Here is a 24,838-nt window from a genome sequence, read left to right as displayed (position 1 = left end):
GGTCTCAATTTTACCAATCACTGATATAGTAGGATATTTTTATATAATTTTACTACCCATCTAATTTAGATAAACTTTATATACGACTATAGGAAATAAGCAATAAAAATAAGATTCCCTTTTCACAAATAAGGAATACACATTTGCCAGTCATTACATTTCACTCACGATACAATAACAAACGTCTCAACTATCTAACGAAAAACCTTCCCTAATCAATGTAACTGTAAATGGCAAATAGTACCATTAGGTACCTATATGTATGTACCTTCAGGATAATAAGAAAAATATTTATCAGCTAAGATATCTGTTCTCTATGCAAATACAAAACTATGGTTTCTATTTAACAGTAATCACAATAGTGGTCAGGGGAAATGTCTTTTGAAATTATCTTCCAATAACTCCACAATAACATGTTAAAACATGACTCAGCACACCCACAACGTGCTTGCCATATAAATCTTCCCAAATTTTTGACAAGCATATAAGCAGACACTCAACAACTATGTTGCTGATGATGCCGTCTTCAGCCTACTTCCTTACACCGTCCAAAACGAAAGTTACTATTTGTTGAGGGATGAAAACAGGTTTGACGACATGGCCTATGGACAAAGTTCCAGGATTTCTAAACTCTGCCCCTATGTGATTCATACACTGGGGTTTCAGAGTGGAAAAGACCAGTCTTTGGTTATACATTTGGCAATTACTTGGGAGTTGTTTTGAGGCCACCTACTAAGAATACTTGGGATAGAGATTACAAATTAAACCCATAAGCCAGGTAGACGAGGAGCAAGGAAATGTCTGGGAATTCGTATTTCATCGGCATATATTTAAAACATCTTATGCTTCTAATTTCCGGTGTGAGTCAACCTCTGCGGACTGAACATCACTAAAACTCTAAGGAAACGTCTCTTTTTAATCCTCTGAAAAATCAATACATTTAAAAACTGCCCGTTGTGTCGACGCTCGGAAAGAGGGTAGAAAACAGCGAGTCTAAGGGAAAGAGGTGCCCCTGCCTCCCCAGGCAGCCAGGGCCCAGGCCCGGTAACGGAGTCGTCCTCTTTATGCCCAAAGCCGCCGGACGGGATGCAGGTCGAGGACCGGCCGCGCGGCGCGGAGCGGGGATGCAGGTAACAGGGCCCGCGCGACCATTCCACCGGCTACGGCCACCCGACACACACCCCAGAGGCAGTGTCCACGCAGCCGGGGTCCTGGATGGCTTGGCCTCGGGTCGTCCGGGGCTTCTCGGTGCGCCCGCCCCCGCCCCCGCTCTGACTCAGCATCCCAGCCTCCCACAGGGGGCGGGAGCGCTCCCCGCCGGGCGGCGCAGGCCTGACCGACCGCGCCCCGCGCCGCCTTGGCCCCTCAGCCCGCGGCCGTCTCACTTACCCAGCCGGGTCTCCGCCGCGCCACCGCCGGCGGGCTCCCGCGGCCTCCTCGAGACTCAGGACACTTCCGGCTTCGCAAGCCCTGGCCGGAGGCCACGTGACCGACGGCCGGCGCGCCGGTGCGGGTGCGCGTGCGCACGCCTATGGCCCGTCTGGTAGTCACCACAGCCGCGGCGGCAACTGCCGAGTCGGCTTCCGCGGCCACGGTAATGAGGGGGATGTCTGGAGACACCCCGTCCACTGTTGCCCTCGCCCTTTACTCTAAAGGGGAATGAGGAGCCCTGAGCAGCGAACACAGTAATTGGGATTCCCGCAACTGCAAATCCCGCCCCTTCCCCGAGCGCTGGCCGACAGTAGGGCGGACCGACGCTGAGCAAGGGATTACATCCCAAGATTTACAGGTGTGCAGAACGTGGGACACGTGGGGGGCAGGCACAGACGGCCGGCAGAGCTGGGAGGGATGGATTCTATGTTTTAAGGGCCCACTTTGGCTGCAGTGGAGCCAGATTATCGTCTCGCAGTAATTCAGACTTTACATTGTTTTTTTCATTTTCCCATCACCCAGAAATACATTAAATTCTTAATGTAAAAATGTTCATTTAATTCCCTCTCGGTATTTTGGAAAACGGCCGTATTGGAGTATCTAACTCTAAACTTAAGAATTTAAGAACTAAAACTTAAATACTAAAATTAGGTCCTGCAATATTCGTGCAGTCAAAATCTCAAGCCGCTATTCCCAATAAGGAATAGCTTTCTGAAGGGGTCCCTTCTGCCCACGGACAGCACAACAGGCCTTTCTCAACATGAGGGAGCAGAGACCGCTGCTAATCTAGGGCTAAATTTCTGAGTGGAGGGGAAGAGGAAGATGGTGTTTCCCAGAGTAGCAGCAGCAAACACGAATGAATGGGAAGTCATGCGGAGTGGCTCAGAGGCTTTTGAATGTAACAGACCTAGGGTTGCTGTCTCGGCTGCCAATTACTGACTTAAAAGCTAATCTCTTACCTCTCTAAGCCTCAGTTTTATCAAATGCACAATGGAGATAACAAAAGTCCACTCTAATGAATTCTTACAAAGCAAGTTACTTTATTAGCATTTTAAACAATGTATAAGTGATGGAATCATTCTAACAACACATCTATTCACTGCTTACAATTCCAACTAATTTCAGTTCTTTGATATCTAATGACAAGAGCGAAGACCTGTTAAAGTTCCTTCCACCAGTAAAACTCACAGCTCAAAGTTGTGGGAGTGATTAACTGAGCCACAGGCCTTCATTCACATGTTTACCACATTAAAATACCACACAGTGTTTTCTTATAAGGTCAACCAACTGGGAAGCAATTAACATTAGCATTAAGATTTAAACTGTTAGGCACAGGGCTAAATCAGGCATTATATGAAAACTTGTGGTTCCCTAGTCAAGTCAAACAAATCCCCAAATATTTCAGCTTGTAACAGTTTTGTCCTTCCTCTCTTGAGACAATTATTTGAGTACTTGCTTTTGGAAATAAGGTAATTCATGATGGAAGCTTCCTAGCTGTGATGGTGCTCTAGGCAACTTCAGAGAATGAAGATAGAAGTTATGCATGATTATATAACATGAAGAGTTTAATTTTTATTACACACTCAATTTCCATGCCCTGATTTCTCTTAGCTCTATAAACACATGTAAATCTTCTGCAGAGCTTTAAAGAGCTCTGAAAGGGAAAACACCTTTCCATATATGGAATTGATAGCATAGTAAGGCCGTGTGCAGTGGCTTATACCTGTAATCCCAACATTGTGAGGCCAGTGGGAGGATTGCTTGAGGCCGGGAGTTTGAGACCAGACTGGGTAACATAGTGAGACCCTGTCTCTACCAAAAAAAAATGTAGCTGGGTGTGGTGGTGCACACCTGTAATCACAGCTAGTCTGGATGCTGAGGCAGGAGGATTGGTAGAGTATGGGAGAAGTTACAGTGAGCTATGATGTCACCACTGCACTCCAGCCTGGGTGATAGACTGATCTCTATTCAAAAAAAAAAAAGAAAAAAAAAGTATAGTGATACACTATTAATTCCATATATGCTAATATGAGATAGCATCCATATAAACTACTATCAAGTCTTTATGTGCCAGCTACTGTAATAAGTCTTTTCAAGTTTAACTCATTGAATTCGTAATGAGGTTTGAGGTAGCTACCATTATTTCCATTTTACAAATAGGGAAACTGAGGCTGGGAGACATTCTTTAACTTGCCCAAGGTTCTAAAACCAGTTACTGGCAGAACTGGTATTTGAACCTACTTAATCTGATTCTAGAGCCTGTGCTATATAAACTCTTACCCACTATGCTATGCTATTCATTAGTATCCATTTAACAATTACTACTATTGCAATAGCTGCAATTATCACTCCTATAGTACAGGGGAACCTATCAAAGAAACACTCAGCTTTCACTTATCTATTTCTGAAAACATTTTTTATTAAAGTATAAGGTACATTTCACTGATTTATTTTTATAACTGTCAATTTAGTTAAGTATTTTTATTATATGGTGTAAGAAAAATGTTTGAAATGTCTTCTGGAATTAACCGGAACAAAATAAATGTACAAAATTTAGAATAGAATTTTACAGAGTTTATAAGCCACTGAAGCCCATTCATGAAACCCATTCATGAGGCCAAAGGGCAAAACAAACCCTCCCTGAACATCTCAATTGGGCTTTTAGAATTTAAACGTAAATGTCTATACGAATTCTGCTGCTCAGTTTTGTCCCTCCTCTCTTCTTTCCAGTGACACTACTGATAACTATTATTTTTTCCTTTTGCTTTCTCAAGTAGCCATGAATAAAAATGGAGGAAGGCAGGGGTAAGTACTTCTAATAATTAAATGTCAGTTACCATTTACAAACATAATAAACACATAGGTATACTATAGGTATACTGTGTTCTAAATACATCCAATAAAAGAGTTAGAAAATAAATTGGGATTTTAAATTCTTTTTTTTTTTTTTTGAGAGAGAGTCTTACTCTCTTGCCCAGGCTGGCGTGCAGTGGCACAATCTCAGCTCACTGCAACCTCTGCCTTCCGGGTTCAAGCGATTCTCCTGCCTCAGCCTCCTGAGTAGCCGGGATTACGAGCGTGCACCATCACACCTGGCTGTTGTATTTTTAGTAGAGATGGGGTTTCACCATGTTGGCCAGGCTAGTCTCGAACTCCTGACCTCAAGTGATCCACCTGCCTTGGCCTCCCAAAGTTCTGGGATTACAGTCGTGAGCCACCACGCCCGGCCTGGAATTTTAAATTCTATCAACAGATTCACATAGGCTTTTTCCAGTACATTAAAGAAAAAGACTCTCATATAACAGAACTAAGTTGCATGTTACCTTTGAGGAGTGAGGTTAAATGAATTAAAGCATCCACACACTCATATTTGTAAACCTTTAAATGGGAAATTATGGAGAGATTAAGATGAGAAAATAAAACTAAAGTATTTATAATAATTCCAGAAAAGACTTGGAAGATTTCACTACGTAAAGTTTATTTTTATATATATATATAAAAAAAAGTATAACACTGGAGCCTAAAACCATTCTCTTTTGTAGAATACATATTGGCGTTGAAACAGTTTAAAGAAATGAAATGGCTATCTACAAAAAGTTAGTTTTGATTGCTGTCTTCCCCCATACTTTGTGTCTTCACACATAAAGAAAATTTTCAAAGATTTTATATTCAGCAATTTTTTAAAAAGTACACTGTTTTCCACTGCTATGGTCTTTATAAAGGACTTGACTTAAAATTTCAAATAAAAAAGAATTAAGGTTCTAGGATAACTCTTGTGTCTTTTAAGAGCATCTTTATACAGAACAATTTGGACCGGCATGCAGGCAACTTCTTTTGTTGTTACATACCTGTATTAGGAAAATTACACCCATTTTACAGAAAAATCCCAAAACATATACTGCAATAAGCTCAAAACAATGTGAAAAAGACCAGTGTGAATGGCACACAAAAATCGCCTCTTTATAAATTAACTGGAATTCATGATCATGAAGTAGGCACAGGGAAATCCAGTCCTCAGGGCTTTGCTCTCTGGAAGAACACCTGTAAATAAAGTATTAATGCAATCAATACTAATGTCAGAAGATATCACTTTCACCTGAAGAATGGCTCCAAGTATCTGAGTGCTAGCAATGTTCTTCTGTAACATTAGAACATTTCGCATGCCTTATATATCCGTATGTAATCCAAGCTAAGAACTTTCTGTTCTGGAGAGTTTGGTAAGTGTAGATATAACTTATGCTGACATCACCCAACTGGGGAAGTAGTGAAAATATGGTGTTATCTCTATGCTATAGAAATCAAGTGGTCAGAAGAAAACAAGCTCTTGACACCTTTTTACTGATTGGTACTATTTCCAAATTAACACTGGTAAATTAAATATTGAGGACGGGCACGGCGCCTGTAATCCCAGCACTTTGGGAGGCCGAGGCCTGAAGCCAGGAGTTTGAGATCAGCCTGACCAACATGGAGAAACCCAGTCTTTACTCAAAATAGAAAAAATTAGCCGGGTGTGGTGGTGCATGCCTGTAATCCCAGCTATTCGGGAGGCTGAGGCAGGAGAATCACTTGAACCTGGGAGGCAGAGGTTGTGGTGAGCCGAGATCGTGCCACTGCACTCCAGCCTGGGCAACAACAGTGAAACTCCGTCTCAAAAAAAAAAAAATTAAATATTGAGGAGGAAACAAGTCAAAGCTAAACATAGCAGTTCTAACTCTGTAAGGAATTTACTATTTATTTGATGATTCAAAAGTACTTCCAAGTCAAAATTTGAGACTACAAAGGAGTTGGCTAGAGGCTGTGCTAGGCATGGCCTAGTACTACATGCTGCCATCCATGGCAGGTCAGGTGAGCACCAGACATAATTCAGTGTTCTCAGTAAGGACAATGATATGGTTTGACCCTGTGTCCCCACGCAGATCTCATCTTGTAGCTCCCATAATTCCTATGTGTTGTGGGAAGGACCGGGTGGGAGATGATTGAATCATGGGGGCAGGTCTTTCCCATGTTGTTTTCCTGATAGTAAATGGGTCTCACAAGATCTGATGGTTTTAAAAATGGGAGTCTCCCTGCACAAGCTCTCTCTTTGCCTGCTGCCATCCACGTAAGATGTGACCTGCTCCTCCTTGCCTTCCGACATGATTGTGAAGCCTCCCCTGCCATGTGGAACTGTAAATCCAATAAAGCTATTTTGTAAATTGCCCAGTCTCGGGTATGTCTTTATCAGCAGCGTGAAAATGGACTAATACAGACAAGAACAGTATTGATAGTGCCCTAGTACCTAGGAGATTCATTTAATAGATAATCTACTATGTGCAGGGGAAAGAATGATCACTATATAGGCAAAAGAAAACCTTACAAGGAGGCTGTGCTTAAGGCAAACCTAGAGAAATGGGTACAGTTCATACAGAAGTTGGGCTGCTAGTAAGGCAGGATTTTTGAAGAACTACAAGAACAGTAAAGACCATTTCTGCAAGAAAAAACAGAAAGGTAGTCTCAGGGCAGAATATGAAAAAAAAAAAAAATTAAGTGCCAAACTGAGAAACATGAATTTGTTCAGGAAGGTTATGAGGAAGGTGAATAAATATCAAAGGACTGCTTGAAGTTTTCAAACACATCAGCCTGGCTAGAACAAGAGAAGAGAGATCAGAGTAAGATAACATCAGCCTACACCAGAGCAGCAGAGACAGAAGAGAGAGAAGATGAGGAAAGAATCTGCAAGATCTGAGGATCAATCAGATGTGAAGGGAGGAGTGAACACGAATGAAATTCATTTTTTCCAACTAGAATAATAATGCTAACACTGAGAATTATGATCACTAAGATAATGTCATCACTGAAGAGAAGTTGGGCCCAGAAGGAAGACTTTTTATAAATGCTATGCAGATAAATAACCACATCTGGAGAACAAGCCTTCTATAGGGTACCTAGATCTACTGTTACAGACACCTCTAACAGATAGTGAGGACTGAGTCCTTAAATTCAGTTTGACTGATCAGTTATTTAACAGGGGTTACTCCTGTAGGCACTTTGCTTTTTTATGGGAGGATGGCGAAGGGGAGGGTTCCCAATGATAAACAAAAACAAGCCCTCAATATTCTTCCACAAAAACTCTGAGATGTTTAAGCTGACAAACTACAACTAAGAAAAAACTGACAAGGGAAGATGTTAGAACCACAGTCAAAGGATGGCACACTTAAATTATTTACTGCGCAAAGCCCTCTGACTTACAAATTCTACTGAATGTCTTTGCTAAAAGAACCAGGTGATACACTAAGTTACCTGCTACTGAATTTAATACAGTGCTTTGTCTTCAAATTATTTGAGTGAAGATAATAAAAAATAATTCACCTTGTCACACTGTAACTTTATTTCTAGATCATGAGCTCCTTATGGGGAGGGAAAATTACTCATAGTTGTATTTGCAGCCATTACTGTAGTACTTGGTACATAAAAAGCAGTCATTATGTATGAAATGAATGACTACCTAGGTAAGACCAAGACAGTTTCATCTCATGAACTCAATTATAACTATGAATACCAAATAAACACGTGACACTTTTTGTTGATTTACAGAGTTAAAAAAAAAAATCAGTAATTTCGTAAATGTAAAAGGAGGCTTGATGGCCCAAATCTGAGGATTCTCCTTTTTGTCTGTTTTACAGTTCAAATGTTTCAAAATAGGATATAAGCAAATATCTCATCCTTCTGTTTTTATATTTTTAGCCCCTTCTTTTCAACTTAATTTGGACAACTGTTCTTGAACATTTCTTATTCTCCTAATCCCTCTAGTTTCTATTTAATTACATCATGAAACTGTAAAAGAAAACTGGCATTTTCTCACCAATATACTCAAAGGTGTACACATTCAGTGTGCTTACCTAACTTATACTCTTTTTCAAGAGCTTAGTTAAAAGGGACTTCACATAAACATCTATAATTGCAGGTATGTATTCTCTCTTGGCTCTCAAACATTACCTAATTGTATGAAGATACGTGAGCTTCACAAATACCTACCTTTAAGTAATTTTTAAAAACTTTAGCATCAGGCTGCTGAAGCGCTTGACAAAACTCCTGGGGGGTGGGGAAAAGAGGGAGAAAAAGAACAAATGTATTTGTATTAAATCCATTGTAATTCGTATCCAGTTTTTTTTTTTTAATTTTTTTTTTTTTTTTAAGAGATGGTCTTGCTCTGTCATCTAGGCTGGAGTACAGTGGTGTGATCATAGCTCACTGTAGCCTCCAACTCCTAGGCTCAAGGGACACTCCCACCTCAGCCTCCCAAGAAGCTGGAATTACAGGCATAAGTCACTGTGCCCAGCTCTTTTTTTAAAAAAGCTGTAGTTAAAAACACTTAAAACTTATCACCTTAACCACTTTTACATGTACAGTACAGTAAGCATTAACTACATGCACACTGTTGTACAACAGGTTTCTAGAACTTTTGCATCTTGCAAAACAAGCTTGCTTTTTGCCTCTTAACTGAAGAACTCCCCATTTTCCCCTACTCCAGCCCCTGGCAACCACCACTTTCTGCTTTGGTGAGTCTACTTTAGATATCTCAAACAAATGGAATCATAGAGCATTGTCTTTTAATAACTGCCTTATTTCATTTAGCATAATGTCCTCTAGGTTCATCCACATTATAGCATATGACAGGATTATTTTATAAATCAGGCTTAATATTCTATTGTATGTATATACCATATTTTGTTTATCCATTTATCTGTCAAAGGAATTTAAGGTTGCTTCAAATTCATGGTATTTAACTTATCAAGATTAATTCAAACAGTATCTCACCACAAGAGGTTTATAGCATTTTCAAATGTCAGTACTTGTCAAACAGGCTGCTTTCACTTTTGAGAACATAGCTCTCCTAGACAAGGTGGATTCATGCCTGAGAGGAGTGAATGGGACAAAAACTACATTGCTACGGCTGCTCACATCTAGTAAGAGGGATAACCAAACAGAGCTAGACCAAAAGAAAAGAAAATTCTAATAGAGAATATTGTGCAAAATGTGTTGTCAGACATAAGGCATATGAAAAAGGGAAAACTGAGGTTCCTTATCTTTCATAATGAATTACTAAATAGAAAAATAATTTTATTTCATTTAGCAATCTGGAAGATTAGCTGTAAACTGAATGGTCTAAGTTCTACTTTTGATGAGCACTAAGATCACAAGAATAGTAATTTATTATTTTCATTAAAATATGAGTTTATTTACATATCAAATGATAACCAAGAAAGTCATTAATATCTCTAAAGGTGGTATACTGTGAAATAAGAGATCACAAATTCATTAAAAATGAGTTAAATTCATTTTTTAAACTCATGTGAAATCTTTATTTTTGAAAAAAACAGCATTATAAAAACTTCAAAAAAACACCATTGAGGCTGGGCACAGTGGCTCATGCCTGTAATCCCAGCACTTTGGGAGGTCAAAGTGGCCGGATCACTTGAGGTCTGGAGTTCAAGACCAGCCTAGCCAACATGGTGGAACCCCATCTCTGCCAAAAATACAAAAACTAGCCAGGTGTGGTGGCATGCGCCTGTAGTCCCAGCTACTTGGGAGGTTGAGGTGGAAGAATTGCTTAAACCCGGGAGGCAGAGGTTGCGGTGAGCCAAGATCGCACCACTGCACACTAGCCTGGGCGACAGTGGATGACCCTGTCTCAAAATAAAAATAAAAAACAAAAAAACACCATTGAAAGCTGTGTTCATGGACTGAAGACTTAATATTGTTAAAATGTCTTTGCTACCCAAAGCAATCTGCCGAGAAGTGATGTCTGCTGTTCTCTTACCTCTCTTTGGTGTTTGACTGCCACCACCTATGAAGGGGCCCTTACCCTTCTGCAATACCCAGACCAGGGTGATGTAGTAGTGTTCAGGGACTTGGTGAAGGTCATAAGAGTGAATTATAACACACATGGGGAGCTGGGTGACAGTGGCAGGAAATTTGTATTTTTCAACATACCTCAAATCCAAAAACAAAAAAAACCCTTGGATCGGGCACGGTGGCTCACGCCTGTAATCCCAGCACTTTGGGAAGCCGAGGTGGGTGGATCACGAGGTCAGGAGTTCAAGACTAGCCTGGCCAAGATGGTGAAACCCTGTCTCTACTAAAAATACAAAAATTAGCTAGGTGCAGTGGCGGGTGCCTGTAATCCCAGCTACTCGGGAGGCTGAGGCAGGAGAATCGCTTGAACCCGGGAGGCAGAGGTTGCAATGAGCCGAGATCGCGCCACTGCACTCTAGCCTGGGTGACAGAGCAAGACTAGAGCAAGACTCCATCTCAAACAAACAAAAAACCCTTGGATGCAGATCATGATGTTTAAGAACACAATACCATTACCCTTCCTACAATTCTATTTATATTATGAAGAGCAGGTCCTGGTGGATATAGAAATCAAGATGAATAAGGAGATTATGGAACACATCAAAAAAATCGTGGGGAAGAATGAGGACACAAGAAAGGAGAGCAGGAGAAAAAGCAGCTCTCTCACCCAGCTCATTTTGGCCTTCAAAGTAGTTCTGATGGGAATCTACCTGTGAAGTTAAAGGGCAGGTGCCCTATCCAGGCCTAATGGCATTAGGAGACGACAGGGAAGTACAAAGCAACACTGAAAGCCAGTGCCTAGCAGTAAGGTCCAAGGACACTATGGGCTAGGGTAATTGATATGGGGTTACCTTGGTCACAGAAAAGCCCCTGGTTCTGGACAGGTGTGGTGGCTCACGCCTGTAATCCCAGCACTTTGGGAGGCCGAGGCCAGTGGATAACTTGAGGTCAGGAGTTCAAGACCAGCCTGGCCAATGTGGTGACCCCGTCTCTACTAAAAATACAAAAATTAGGCATGGTGGTGGGCACCTGTAATCCTAACTACTTGGGAGGCTGAGGCCGGAGAACTGCTTGAACCCGGAGAATTGCTTGAACCCGGGAGGTGGAGGTTACAGTGAGCAGAGATTGTGCCATTGCACTCCAGCCTGGGTGACAGAGCAAGACTGTCTCAAAAAGAAAGAAAAAGATGACGACTCTGGAAATGTCTTTGCAATAAAAGGGTCCCCCCCCCACTTTACACATTATGTAAAATGACACAGGGGAAAGAGTATATAAAACTGAGCTGCTAAATGAATATCCCTGTTCCATCAGGTCAACAAAATGCTTCTTAATGGCCAGGCAAGGTGGCTCACGCCCGTAATCCTGGGACTTTAGGAGGCCAAGGTGGGAAGATCACTGAGGTTAGGAGTTTGAGACCAGCCTGGTCTCTACTAAAAAAAAAAGCAAAAACAAAAATTAGCTAGGCATGGTGGTGCCTGCCTGTAATCCCAGCTACTCAGGAAGCTGAGCCACCAGAATCACTTGAACCTGGGAGGCGGAGGTTGCATGCAATGAGCCAAGATCGTGCCTCTGCACTCCAGCCTGGGCACTAAAGCGAGACTCCATCTCAAAAAAAATAAAAATAAATTTAAAAAATTTTAAAAAGCTTCTTAATCATTCCAAAAATAAAAAACAAAGTGACGTACAGATTCAAGGCAATCCGTATAAGAGTTCCAAGAGCATATTTTATAGAAATAGAAAAAACAAAACTAGAATTTACATGGAATCACAAAAGGCCCTGAATAGCCAAAACAATCCAGAGAAAGAGCAAAGCTGGATGTACCACACTTCCAGATTTCAAAATATATTTTAATATTACAGTGTGAAAACAGTATGGTACTAGCAAAAGACAGACATATATCCTAGCTACTTGGGAGGCAGAGGCAGAAGGATTCTTTGAGTCCAGGCGTTTGTAGTTGCTGTGAACTATGATGGTGCCACTGCACTTGAGTCTGGACAACAGAGTGAGACCCTCTCTCTTTTAAGACAGACATATAAACCAATGGAACAAAATAGAATTTGAAAATCAACTCCTGTATACAGTCAACTGATCTTCAACAAGGGTACTAAGAATACACAATGGGGAACAATAATCTCTCCAATAATGGTGCTGGTAAAACTGGATATCTACGTGCAAAAGAAAACGAGACCCTTATCTTACACAAAAATCAACTCAATGTATTAAAGACTTTATATGTAAGTCTCCAAACTGCAAAACTAGAAGAAAACATAGGAGAAAAGCTTCAAGATGCTGGTCTTTGAAATGATTTCATTGATATCACGAAAAGCTACATTAGTGGGGCTACATTGAATTAAGAAGCTTCTGCACCATAAAGTAAGCAATCAACAGAGCAGAAAGGCAACCTCTGGAATAGCTAAAGAATGGGAGAAAATATTTGCAAACCATTTATCTGATAAGGGGTTAATTTCTAACATATAAAAAAACTCCTCTAATTCAATAGCAAAAAACTTAATAACTTGATTAGAAAATGGGGTAAAGACTTGAATAGACTTCTCCAAATACAAATGGTTAACAGGTGTATGAAAAAACAAACATCACTAATCATAAGGGAAATGCAAATCAAAACCACAATGAGATATCACCTCACACCTGTTAGAATGGCTATTACAAAAAAATGAAAGACAGCAAGTGTTGGTGACATTGTGGAAAAACTGGAACCCTGCTACACAACTGATGGAAATGCAAAATGGTGTATAGCCACTATAGAAAATAGTAAGATGTTTCTTCAAAAAATTAAAAATAGGACTACCATATAATCCAGCAATCCCACTTCTGGGTATTTATCTAAAAGAATTGGAATCAGCATCTCAAAGACATATTAGCATTCCCATGTTAACTGTAGCACTTACAATGTGAAAATAGCCCCAATGAATCTATCAGTGGATTAATGCATAAAGAAAATGTGATATATACATACAGTGGCATGTTATTCAGCCTTAAAAAATTGCGAAATCCTGCCATATGTAACAACATGGATGAACCTAAAGGACATTGTGTGAAACAGCCAGTCACAAAAAGAGAGATAACTGCATGATTCCACTTATATTAGGTATCTAAAGTAGTCAAATTCACAGAATCAGAGAGTAGAATGGTAGTTTCTAGGAGATGGGGGCTGTGGGAAATGGGAATTGCTAATCAGTGGGTATAAAGTCTTAGTTATGCAAGATGAATATGTTCTGGAGATCCACCTATATTTTATAGGCACATCACTGTCCCTATAATTAATAATACTGTGTTGTGCACGTAAAAATTGTTAAGATGGTATATATCTCATGTAAGTGTTCTTACAATAAAATAAAAACACTATTGATGAAGAAACAAATTTTGGAATCTACATAAGAGATTGTAATTCTAGTTTTAATCAAGTTTGATACTTCATTAACTCCATGTACTACTGGACAAGAAATCTGGAAAATTATATGCCAAGAAACAATATTATACAAATGACTTCTTAAAAGTATAAGGTAACTTTCCAGACACTTTCCTTAAAATAGTTTCAGATTTACAGATTAAGCATTGATAAGCTTGGTGTACACACAATGAACTACCTGGTACAAAGCTTCAGAACTCTGCTGTGGTCCCCTTCAGCAGTCTGGAAAAGCCTATTAGGCTCCTTTAGAATGTTTTTTTAAAAAAATGCATAAAACATAATACATGGGATTACGATAGAAGCCAATTATACTGAATAATGGTTATCAAACTAAAGTATGCTAGAACAGTAAGGACTTATTAACTTGTTGGGTAACAAGGTGTAGTGATATTACTTAGTAACTCATAATTTCAAAATGGTGATAAGCATAAACAGTATTTTGAGATGCTGGCAACAACTTATGTAATATGAAAATATTTTTGATTTCTGCTAGCGACAATGTCACAGGCAATGCTGCTACTACTGTGATCTCTCGCCTACACAATGGTAAGAAATAGCTCTTACCTGAATTATTTCTGGAGCTACTTGCAAGGAGGGCAGGTATTCTTGTTGAAGATACTGAACACATTCTGGGCCCTGAAGATTAAAAGATACTTACAACTATTTTCTTGCTTGACATTAATAAGCTTAAAAAGAATCGGAACAATACATGTACACTTTAAAGGCAATATAGTATTGTGCTTAAGAACACAGACCCGAGAGCCAGACTGCCTTGGTTTGAAGCCTGGCTCTGGCACCTTCTTTAAAATTATACTTTAAGTTCTGGGTTACATGTGCAGAACATGCAGTTTTGTTACATAGGTATACATGTGCCCTGGTGGTTTGCTGCACTTGGGCAAGTTACTTAACCTCTCTAAGCCTCAGTTTCTCCATCTGAAAAATAAGGTTCTTGGCCGGGTGCAGTGGCTCATGCCTGTAATCCCAGCACTTTGGGAGGAGGAGATGGGTGATCACTTGAGGTCAAGAGTTCGAGACCAGTGTGGCCAACATGGTGAAACCCTGTTTCTACCAAAAATACAAAAAAATTAGCTGGGCATCATGGCGCATGCCTGTAATCCCAGCTACTCGGGAGGCTGAGGTAGGAGAATCACTTGAAACTGGCAGGCGCAGGCTGCAGTGAGCCGAGATTATGCCAGTGCACTCCAGCCTGGGTGACAGAGCGAGACTCTGTCTCAAAAAAAAAAAAAAAAATCAATGTATCTCTCCTCGATGTACTCTTCCTTGCACTACCACCTGGAATTCCTGTTTAATATTAGTGCTTCTGAATCAAAGGATTTATGTTTCCTCCTTCACCTTGGATCTAAGTCCCAGTTTAATGACCCATCAGAGGAAACCTGTCTGTAACTGAGAGGCAGTAACCCTTCACTGTTTCCCAGATCCCTCCTACTTTCCTTCTCATCTTTTTCTTATGTCTACCCTGTCTGTACTTGCTTCCTATGCAATGTTCATCACTTTGTAACCTCACTGTTATCACTTTAAAAGAGTGTAGTTTTGTTTGTTTTGAATCAGGGAAAGTAAACTTATACCTCAAGTCAGTCAAAAGATGAGAAAAAAGAACAATGAAGCAAAACTTTTTTTTGTTTTCTGAAGCAAAACACTTTAAAATATTGTTTGACTCAATTCTGTATGTTTAAATTACGACTTCTATGGATAAAACAAATACTTCTGAAGTAGAAATACCATCCTTACTGTTTCCTTTCATCCTTCATCCACATCCACCTTGACTGTTTAGCATCCAAACAACGCCATCCAATCTCCTCTCTTGAGACTGTCTTCTCTTATCTTTCATAATGCTCCTACCTCTGGTTCTGCTTTTTCATTTTGTTTTGTTTTTGTTTTTTGAGACAGAGTCTCGCTCTGTTGCCCAGGCTGGAGTGCAGTGCCACGATCTCAGCTCACTGCAACCTCACTTCCTGGGTTCAAGCAATTCTTGTGCCTCAGCCTGCCAAGTAGTTGGGATTACAGGCGTGCACCACCACACCTGACTATCTGGTTCTACTTCTACCTTTCTGTTGACTCTTGCTTGAGCCAAAGTTCTTTCTGTTCTGGTCTTAGAAAGTCTCAGTCATTCCTATGGCTTTACTTTGACTGACTTACACTGAGGACTCCAAAATCAGTATTTAATCCTAACTGCTTCAGACCCATTGTTCCGAACACTTTCCCTCCTAAATTACAAACCCACTGCCTACTGACTTCCTGACTTTACACATGTAACACAAGGCTTTTATCTAGTCTCATCTTATTTTTTAGCTATCACTTCTGCCTCTATACTTTAGCTAAACAGAATTAAGTCTATAACTTCCCACCAAATCCACCATGTGACATCTAATCTAATCTGTCTTTGTACACCTACTTAACTTTGCCCAGAATGCCAGCTCCCTATTACTCCCATCAATCTACATTTAAGGGCCATCAAAAATATCACCTCTTTCCTATAGCTTGCTTAGATTGCCCCTCAGGCAAAATTGCCCATTCAGCTTTAGTTCCACAATATTTTATGTATCTCCACTAAAGTACTTAACCCACTGGAGTTTTTTATGTGTTGGTCTCCCTTGATTCTGAGTTCTCGAGTATCGGGGGATGCCTTATTTACCTTTATACAGTTCCCCTGCTGTCCCTAAACACACACCTACCCCACCCTAGCAGGTAGCAAGTATAGAAGAAATGCTGCTGAATTGAAAACACTTCAAGTCTCTATCAGAATCAAAAAATCAAGTTCAAATGAGTGCACAGCTGAATGGAGACCACTGAGCAAAAGCTCATGTTCTTTTTAGGGGGTGAGGGCAACTACTGCTCTTTAGCTGGCTGTAGCTATGTGGCAATAACAGTCCTGTGCTGGCATTCTATGGCTTTGAGAGAGGCTGGAGGGAAGAATTTTTGGTTAAAAAAAAGTATTTGAGATTTTTAAATGTTGGCAACCAATTCCAGTTATTTACAAATACCCAGAATCAGCTGGGCATGGTGTAATACCAGCATTTTGGGAAGCCAAGGCAGGAGGAATGTTTGAGCCCAGGAGTTCAAGACCAGTGTAGGGACAATGGTGAGACCTGGTCTCTATAAAAACCACAAAAATTAGCCAGGTGTGGTGGCGTGCGCCTGTACTCCCAGCTATTCAGGAGGCTGAAGTGGGAAGAGTACTTGAGCCTGGGAGGTGGGGTCTGCAATGAGCTGAGATCATGCCACTGCACTCCAGCCTGGGTAACACAGGGAGAACCTACCACAAAAAATAAAGTAAAATATATATTAAAAAAATAACCAAGGCCGGGCACAGTGGCTCACGCCTATTATCTCAGCACTTTTGGATGCCATCGTGGGCAGATCAACTTGAGGTCAGGAGTTCAATACCAGCCTGGCCAACATGGTGAAATCCCATCTCTACAAAAAATATAAAAATTAGCCAGGTGTGGTAGCATGCATCTGTGTGGTCCCAGCTACTCTGGAGATTGAGATGGGAGGATCAGTTGAGACTCCAGGAGGTGGAGGCTGCAGTGACCCCAGATTGCACCACTGCATTCCAACCTGAGTGACAGAGTGAGACCCTGTAAATAAATAAAAAATAGGCCAGGCGCAGTGGCTCACGCCTGTAATCCCAGCACTTTGGGAGGCCAAGCAAGGCAGGCGGATCACTTGAGGTTAGGAGTTCGAGACCACCCTGGCCAACATGGTGAAACCCTGTTTCTACTAACAATATAAAAATCAGCCGGGCATGGTGGCGGGTGCCTGTAATTCCAGCTACTCAGGAGGCTGAGGCAGGAGAATTGCTTGAATCTGGGAGGCAGGGGTCGCCGTGAGCCGAGATCATGCCACTGCACTCCAGCCTGGGCAACAAAAGTGAAACTCAGTCTCAAAAAAATAAATAAAAATAAAAATAAAATAAAAAATCTGGTAGTGAAGAAGCCTACAAGATCATGAAAACTGAATCTTGAAATTCTGGCTAAGATTTTTCACATCCTTAGTCAAACCAAAACATGTTACCCAAAACATGAAGGACAATAAATGGATACTGCTACTTTCATTCATCCCCTTTCCCCACATCCAAAAAGTCAAAACAAAAGTTAAATTTTACACAAGATACATCTTTCAAGAACAAGATAATAATACCACATGTGAGATGAAAATGAAGGGGCATGGACTAAAAGGCTTACCCGTTTGAGATGAATTGTTTTCAGTGTCACTGCACACTCAGATAAAGCCTGTGAAAAACAAGTTTAAGAATTTCTATATATTCAATTCTTGTTTAGTGATCCAGCTCTTCTCTTTACTACCCTGGCCACTGCCAGGGAAATTCAAATAAATATTTCCAGAGAAATATTTAACTCCAGAGAAGGGATAGAGGAAGGAAAGGTAACAGGCAGATGGACTAAGTGGGTTGAAGTAAAAAAAGAAAAAAAACAGAAAAATACAAACTGTTGTTTTAACGTAGTAAATTACAATTATGAAATCTAGCTTTTACCAGGTTGTGGGAAAGTGAGAAAGCGGAAATTGACATTAAGTATTGTGAAAATTAGATTTGGGGAAACTATCATACAAGGAGGATCAAGTTGCCATTTCATGCTCTTAATGATTAGGGAAAACCACTAGGTACAAGTTTTAGAATTAAAGTAGTAGTAGGAAACTAATACTCAAGCTTGAAAGAATGTTTGTGACATATGCCCTTTCATGGTCCTAGAAAAAGTCAGGTGTTAAAGTCGAAGGAGTAGAATTTGTAAAATTCAGCAGTAGCATTGGGATTCAATAAGAATTCATAAAAACTCCAGAAGGTATCATAAATCTTTAAAAAAAGAACCCTGATCTGAAATCACTAAGTTAAAAAAAAAATCAATGAAACATAATATAATCAACCTGGCATTAAAGAAGAAATTGGGAATATATGAGCTACACAAGGTAAACAAAGATTCCTAGGTGCTTACCAATACTGTTTGTGCATCTGCCAGGTCAAAGGTTTGTTTTAAAGGTGCTAGGAAACATGCGGGGACAATGTGCTTATAAACAAAATCAGCAAATCCCACTGGTCCATCTTTACCTCCTGTCAAGAGAATTCAAATTTTCATCTTATATATAAAAGTAAGTCAATTAATTCATCACCAGGGAAAACCAACTCCCAGTTTCTCTCTCTGTTAGGGCTATGTTCCATTATGTCTAAGAGTTTTATGAAAGAGTTTGGGAAATGAAGGTTAAGAAATAAAATTATCTTACCCCAGAGTTCTACCAACTTTGAGAGGATGATAAAACATGTTTTCTGTGCAATTGGATCTGGATATTCAACTGCTCCTTGGATAACAGTAACCAACACTCTTTCTACATTCTCTGCACCTGAGGAGAAAAACCTTTAGTTTAAGCAATTTCCAAAATTAACTAGGAAAGCAACCTGAAGTTCTCTTTTCATATACATTAACAAGTCAAAAATCATTTACAGGTGGAATGGGAAAAATGAAGGGGGAAAAAAGCATTTACAGAATTGCCAAAATCCCTTGATTTTTATTAACTGGGCACCTAAAGTTTAAACATTAAACACTGAAAAATCAGCTGGGCGCGGTGGCTCCTGTCTGTAATTCCAGCCCTTTGTAAGGCCGAGGAAGATTGCTTGAGCCCAGGAGTTTAACCAGCCTGGGCAACGTGGTGAGATCCCATCTCTACAAAAAATAAGCCCAGCATTGTGGCAACTGCCAATGGTCCTGGCTACTCAGGAGGTAGAGATGGGAGGATAGCCCAGGAGGTGGAGGTTGCAATGAGTCGTGATGACACCACTGCACTACAGCCTGGGCAAGAGAGTGAGACCCTATCTCACAAATCAAATCAAATTAAAAAATAAAACAATGAAAAATCAGTTTGCCCCTGGTATCTTGTTCCCTAAATTTCCTATACAGAATTCTCTACACAAATCTGTACAGCTCCATTTATTTTATATTTCAAAATGGCAAATTTGCCATAAAGACTCAATTGTCAGGTCAATTCTGGTAAGTAACCATGTTATTTATATTGCTAAAGAACCAAATTAAAAAAATATTGCAGAAAGAAAAAGGAACAGAATACAAATTAATTTTAGGTGCTTTACATAAAAGTGATCAATTCCCACCCTGAAAACAATAAACTGTCTTCCCATGGGATAGCAAACTTCAAAATTTCTGTATTTACTTCAGTTTGCTCTTGGTCATATAGATGTACAACAGTGACACAGACTTAAGCAGACAAATTAGATATGGCATGTGTTCCCACCTTGATTTGCTATAACTTCGCTCATCCCACTGCCTGTGACTGTTTGCAGGAAAGCAAAGTAACTCCTCCGCAACATCTGCTTCTCTAAAGCAGCAGACTGGTCATTTTCTTCTGCTGGCCGGAGCAGCACTTCAAAAATTGCATGAAGCAGGGGCATGAACATCTGTTGTAAAAACGGGGATACCTGTATCTGAAGATAAACAATCATTACTTCAGAAATTAGTAACAATATTAACATACAACTTAGAAAAAACTATTTTACATAAAGCCTTTCTTTTCTATTTAGGATGCATGCGTACATAATTCAGTTAGCAAATATCAATTTTAAGATAAAATCTATATAACCTAAACATTACTAGGCCAGACGCAGTGGCTCACACCTGTAATCCCAGCACTTTGGGAGGCTAAGGCGGGTGAGTCACCTGAGGTCAGGAGTTCAAGGCCAGTCTGCCCAACATGGTGAAACCCCATCTCTACTAAAAATACAAAAATTAGCTGGGTGTAGTGGCGCACGCCTGTAGTCCCAGTCCAAGCTACTCAGGAGGCTGACGCAGGGGAACTGCTTGAACCTGAGAGGTGGAGGTTGCAGTGAGTCAAGATCATACCACTGCACTCCAGCCTGGGCAACACAGCAAGACTCCATTTCAAGGTGGGGAAAAAACCTTAAAAAATATTACTAAAAGACTCAAGATCATTAAATTTAAACCCTTTCCTACAGCTTAAGATTTAGGTTAAAATAATAGTCAGACATATTTCACAATATTGCCATGGAATATTTTCAAAATTAAATTCTCAAAAAATGAATTATATGATTAAACTCTTAGGGTTTTTCTTGTTTTTGAACAAAGGTAAAAAACATTGTTTAATAGCATGTTCTCAATACTTGCTTACAAATGAACTCCTGAGTTTTATGAACTCTTGGGCAAATCCCTTCACTTCTCCATGCCTCAGTTTCCTCAACTATAACATATAATCCCTGTCTTCTAGGGTAGGTATGAAGATCAAATGAGTAAATGTACAAAAAATGCTTAGAACAGATTTTGAACATAGAAAGTACTATGTAAGTGGCCAGGTTTATGCCTGTAATCCTAGCACTTATGGAGGCCGAGGCAGGAGGATCACTTGAGGTCAGGAGTTCGAGATTAGCCTGGTCAACATGGGGAAACGCTGTCTCTACTAAAAGTACAAAATATTAGCGTGGTGTGGTGCATGCACCTATAGTTCCAGCTACTCAGGAGGCTGAGGCACAAGAATCGCTTGAACCTGGGAGGTGGAGGTTGCAGTGAGTTGTGACCGCGCCACTGCACTCCAGCCTATGTGACAGAGTGAGACTATCTCCATTTAAAAAAAAAAGAAAAAAGGAAAAAAGAGGTACTATGTAAGTATTAACCACTTTTATTAGCCAGCTTAAATGTCCTACAGAAAACTGACTTTAATACATTGAATTACTTTTAACTCTTGCTTGGGTACCTGAATTATGGTGCTTATTTAGTACTCAGTTTACTGGTTTTATATGCTCTTCTAAAACAGCAGACTAGTTTTCTTTTGCTACACAAAGCGGTTAGGGTCTGTTTATATTCAAACATCTATTAAGCATGACCTATGTATCAGGCAGTGTGCCAGACACCACAGATGATAAAAATACATATGATCCATGAGGCTCTTAAGTAATTCATTAAAAGCAAAAAAAAAGAAACCCAAGGGCAAAATCCGAAACATGTCTGAAGATAAATACATCTGATCTTCAAGAGATTTTCAGAGCTCTGAAAGTTTGCGGTACCTTGAATTTGGCCGTAATCTGGTTGATAAGAGGAATGAACTCCTGGAGATCTTTTGCTTCACAATCTTTGAGCATATGTTCTGAAGCAGATGGAATGAACGGAAGAACTTCTTCCTCCAGGCAAATAATCATTCGATGAAGGAAAGTACGGACTCCACTTCTGAGAATATCCTTTTGTAAGGGACAACTGAGGGCTGGCAAGAATGTCTGTAAACAGTCCAGATAAACTTCGGAACAGCCACATTGTTTCACAGTCTGTTTGTTGCTGAAAGCTTTACTGGTTCGACTATATAAGCAAAAATCAGGCAATCAGATGCAACTTTATTCTTTAAAAGTGTTATGGAGTATTCAAAAGCAATGCACAACAAATTACAAAATTAACAAAACTAAATAACCAGACCTTTATTTTCCACATCACAATTACTTCCATCTTTAGCTAATATGGCTATTTGTAAACTACTGCTTCCAATGATCTTTCCAGAACAAAAGAGCTCAAATTAACTTAAATGAATGACATGTAGTTAATATAATCCTTCTAATGTGAGTCTACCTAAATGTTTTATTAAAATCCTATTGACTGGGCTGGGTATTGTGGCTCATGCTTCTAATTCCAGCACTTTGGGAGGCTAAGGCAGGCAAATCACTTGAGGCCAGGAGTTCAAGACCAGTCTGGACAACATGGTCAAAACCGGTCTTTACTAAAAATAGAAAAATTAGCTGGGTGTGGTAGCACATGCCTGCAATCCCAGCTACTTGGAGGCTGAGGCACAAGAATTGCTTGAGCCTGGGAGGCGGAGGTTGCACTGAGCTGAGATCACAACACTGCACTCCAGCCTGAGTGACAAAGCAAGACTGTGTCTCCCCCACAAAAAAAAGAAAAAAGAAAAAAAAGAGAAAAATCCTACTGACAAAGTGGACAGAAAAGAGAAAATAAATCCACTTATTATGACTAGGCCTGTACTAGGTAACCTGCAAACCACCCATTTAAATTTAGAAAACCATCTTCAGAATTCTTTATACAACCTCTCTAATATCTAGCTCTTGTTCTTAAATATATTATAGAACAATTTAACTTCTAAATTAGCAATCTTTACAACTTTCATGCTGTTGTTTGTCAACAAAAAGTATGGCTAGAGGCGGAAAAAACAGCTGCTTGGGTGATCTTCAGGACACAATACAACTGAAGAGAAACCTCACGCTCTTCTCTTTAAGGTAACCAAGACTAACCAAAGATGTCCCGTCCCAATATATATTTGGTATATTAACACTTCAGCTGATCCTCTTAAACACACAACCCATTTATATCAGAGAAGTCAGAGGAGTTAAAGATTTACAGTTGTCAAGGCAAAAATGTAAATGGTATGTAACCTATCCCCTTCTTCAACCAAATCTAACTGACTGGATTTGGAGGACAAAGATTTAGACAATTCTCTGGATTATCCAACTGTGGAAACACAAATGTGTGTGCCCACCAAACAAGTGGTTCTGTCTGTGTAGATACATGCACTTTATAATTTTAACTGTGATCACACTTACCTTGCAAATCCAACAGCATGGTTAAGACAGTCTGCTAGAGAGGCTTGCCTTTCTTCATCTTGTGCCAGCATCAACTTTTCTAACAGAATTTTAAACTTCTCCATTAGTGGAGTCAACAGATTCCTCATTAAGGCTTGTTTCCTTTCTGCCGGATATTCACTATTAACAATCAGCACTCCAGCTGTCTCATAAATAAAAAGTTGATCATCGCTGCTCAGTAAGGACTGGTGGCCATTCTCCTAGAATGAAATTCAGTCTTATTAAAGCTTTTATTTTTTGAGTTCCCTTCATTTAATGAGAAAAAGTGCATTAGGAACAGGAAATGTAATCTATCACACCAACTCATATGTCAAATACTTATAAAGACAAATTTTCTCCCAGGACCATAGAATGAAAAGAAAACTAAATTAGAGGTCAACAGATCACGGTTCTAATTCCAGCCCTGACAAGACTCTATAAATGATCATGTAAGATAATTATTAAAGTTAGCTTTCTAACTTGTTTTCTTTTGTAAAGATCTTATTTATATAAGATTGTTATGAGGCTAGGCTGCATGTGGTGGTTCATGCCTGTAATCCTAGCACTTTGGGAGGCCGAGGCCGGCAGATCACTTGAGGTCAGGAGTTCGTGACCAGCCTGGTCAACGTGGTGAAACCCTGTCTCTACTAAAAATACAAAAATTAGCTGGGTGTGGTGGCGCACCTGTAGTCCCAGCTACGCGGGAGGCTGAGGCAGGAGAACTGCTTGAACCTGAGAGGTAGAGTTGTAGTGAGTCAAGACCATGCCACTGCACTCCAGCCTGGGTGACAGAGCCAAGACTCTGTCTCAAAAAAAAAAAAAAAAGTACTAGAGTGCTATACTTCTTTTAAATAATTAAGTAACAACACACAGTAAAGCATTATTTTGCATGTGTCTGTAAGGGTGTTTCCAGGAAAGATTAGTCAGTCCAAGTAGACTATGTGGGGAAGACCTGCCCTCAGTGTTGGCGGGCACCATCCAATTGACCAGGGGCTCTGAGAGAACAAATACATAAGGCAAATTGGTCTCTCTCTGAAAGGTGGACAGACTTTTCTTCTGCGGCCTTGAACATCAGAAATTTGACTCTGCAAAAGTACATTACACACAGCATTAACTGTGTGTGTAAACACTGCATGTACACAAGAAAGGTCCTTTCTGTACATCTGCATCTGTGAAACATAAAATTTCTTGTGATCTCAGTTCTTTGGGTGACTGCATATGTTGTAGTGACCCATTGCCGTTTTTTATCAATTTCCTCAAGACTTAGGTTGTCTGTCATGGTTATTTCAGATGAGCGCAGTTATAAAGCAGAGTGGCACACAACTACTAACCATAGTGACATGCACTTACACATTTTGCTTTCTGATTTATGAATACAGTTTGTCTGCTCCTGTTTTACACATGTAACTGTCATTTTTATAACTGTTTATGCTTGCAAAAGCATGTTATTATTGCCTATTTTATTGTGTAAAGTGGCCTATGAAGTGCTGTCATGTTTTTACATGTTTCTCAAATACATTCCCTTTTAAAA

At 39.9% G+C, this 24,838-nt stretch overlaps 2 protein-coding genes and 1 pseudogene across 8 annotated transcripts in view, besides 2 other annotated features; 1 reads left to right on the top strand and 2 right to left on the bottom strand.

The window, feature by feature from the left end:
- The window catches only part of TBK1 (TANK binding kinase 1), a 49,995-nt gene extending 48,538 nt beyond the window's left edge, over window positions 1-1,457 (bottom strand). For 2 of the 4 annotated variants that reach the window (XR_007063071.1, NM_013254.4), the window contains exon 1: window positions 1,390-1,457. The gene's annotated coding sequence lies outside the window, so the exon portion shown is untranslated. Of the gene's footprint in view, window positions 1-938 lie in introns of all 4 variants that reach the window. The other 2 variants (XM_005268810.2, XM_005268809.2) reach the window with 2 other exon arrangements.
- Window positions 1,117-1,586: a silencer, noted in NCBI's record as "silent region_4621". NCBI's record gives its function as "represses an Ori minimal core promoter by ATAC-STARR-seq in GM12878 lymphoblastoid cells {active_cell/tissue: GM12878}" and the evidence as "EXISTENCE:reporter gene assay evidence [ECO:0000049][PMID:35858748]".
- XPOT (exportin for tRNA) overlaps window positions 2,452-24,838 on the bottom strand; it is a 46,734-nt gene continuing 24,347 nt past the window's right edge. For all 4 annotated transcript variants that reach the window (XM_047428193.1, XM_017018748.2, NM_007235.6 and 1 more), the window contains 9 exons: window positions 23,290-23,528; window positions 21,754-22,039; window positions 19,974-20,163; window positions 18,954-19,070; window positions 18,668-18,783; window positions 17,903-17,950; window positions 14,262-14,333; window positions 8,446-8,502; window positions 2,452-5,472 (listed from right to left, as the gene is read on the bottom strand). In XM_047428193.1, the coding sequence (XP_047284149.1) occupies window positions 5,446-5,472; window positions 8,446-8,502; window positions 14,262-14,333; window positions 17,903-17,950; window positions 18,668-18,783; window positions 18,954-19,070; window positions 19,974-20,163; window positions 21,754-22,039; window positions 23,290-23,528 (1,152 nt within the window). In that variant the 3' untranslated portion in view covers window positions 2,452-5,445. The remainder of the gene's footprint in view (window positions 5,473-8,445; window positions 8,503-14,261; window positions 14,334-17,902; window positions 17,951-18,667; window positions 18,784-18,953; window positions 19,071-19,973; window positions 20,164-21,753; window positions 22,040-23,289; window positions 23,529-24,838) is intronic.
- Window positions 10,258-11,065, top strand: LOC100420899 (mitochondrial ribosomal protein S25 pseudogene; annotated as a pseudogene).
- Window positions 15,121-15,321: a silencer, noted in NCBI's record as "peak1761 fragment used in MPRA reporter construct". NCBI's record gives its function as "represses an SCP1 promoter by STARR-seq MPRAs in K562 erythroleukemia cells {active_cell/tissue: K562}" and the evidence as "EXISTENCE:reporter gene assay evidence [ECO:0000049][PMID:32103011]".

The sequence above is a fragment of the Homo sapiens genome, chromosome 12 (genome assembly GCF_000001405.40).
Source record: "Homo sapiens chromosome 12, GRCh38.p14 Primary Assembly".
Lineage (NCBI taxonomy): Eukaryota > Metazoa > Chordata > Mammalia > Primates > Hominidae > Homo > Homo sapiens.
The sequence above is the reverse complement of the archived record's forward strand: the minus strand, read 5'-3'. Positions and strand labels throughout refer to the sequence as shown.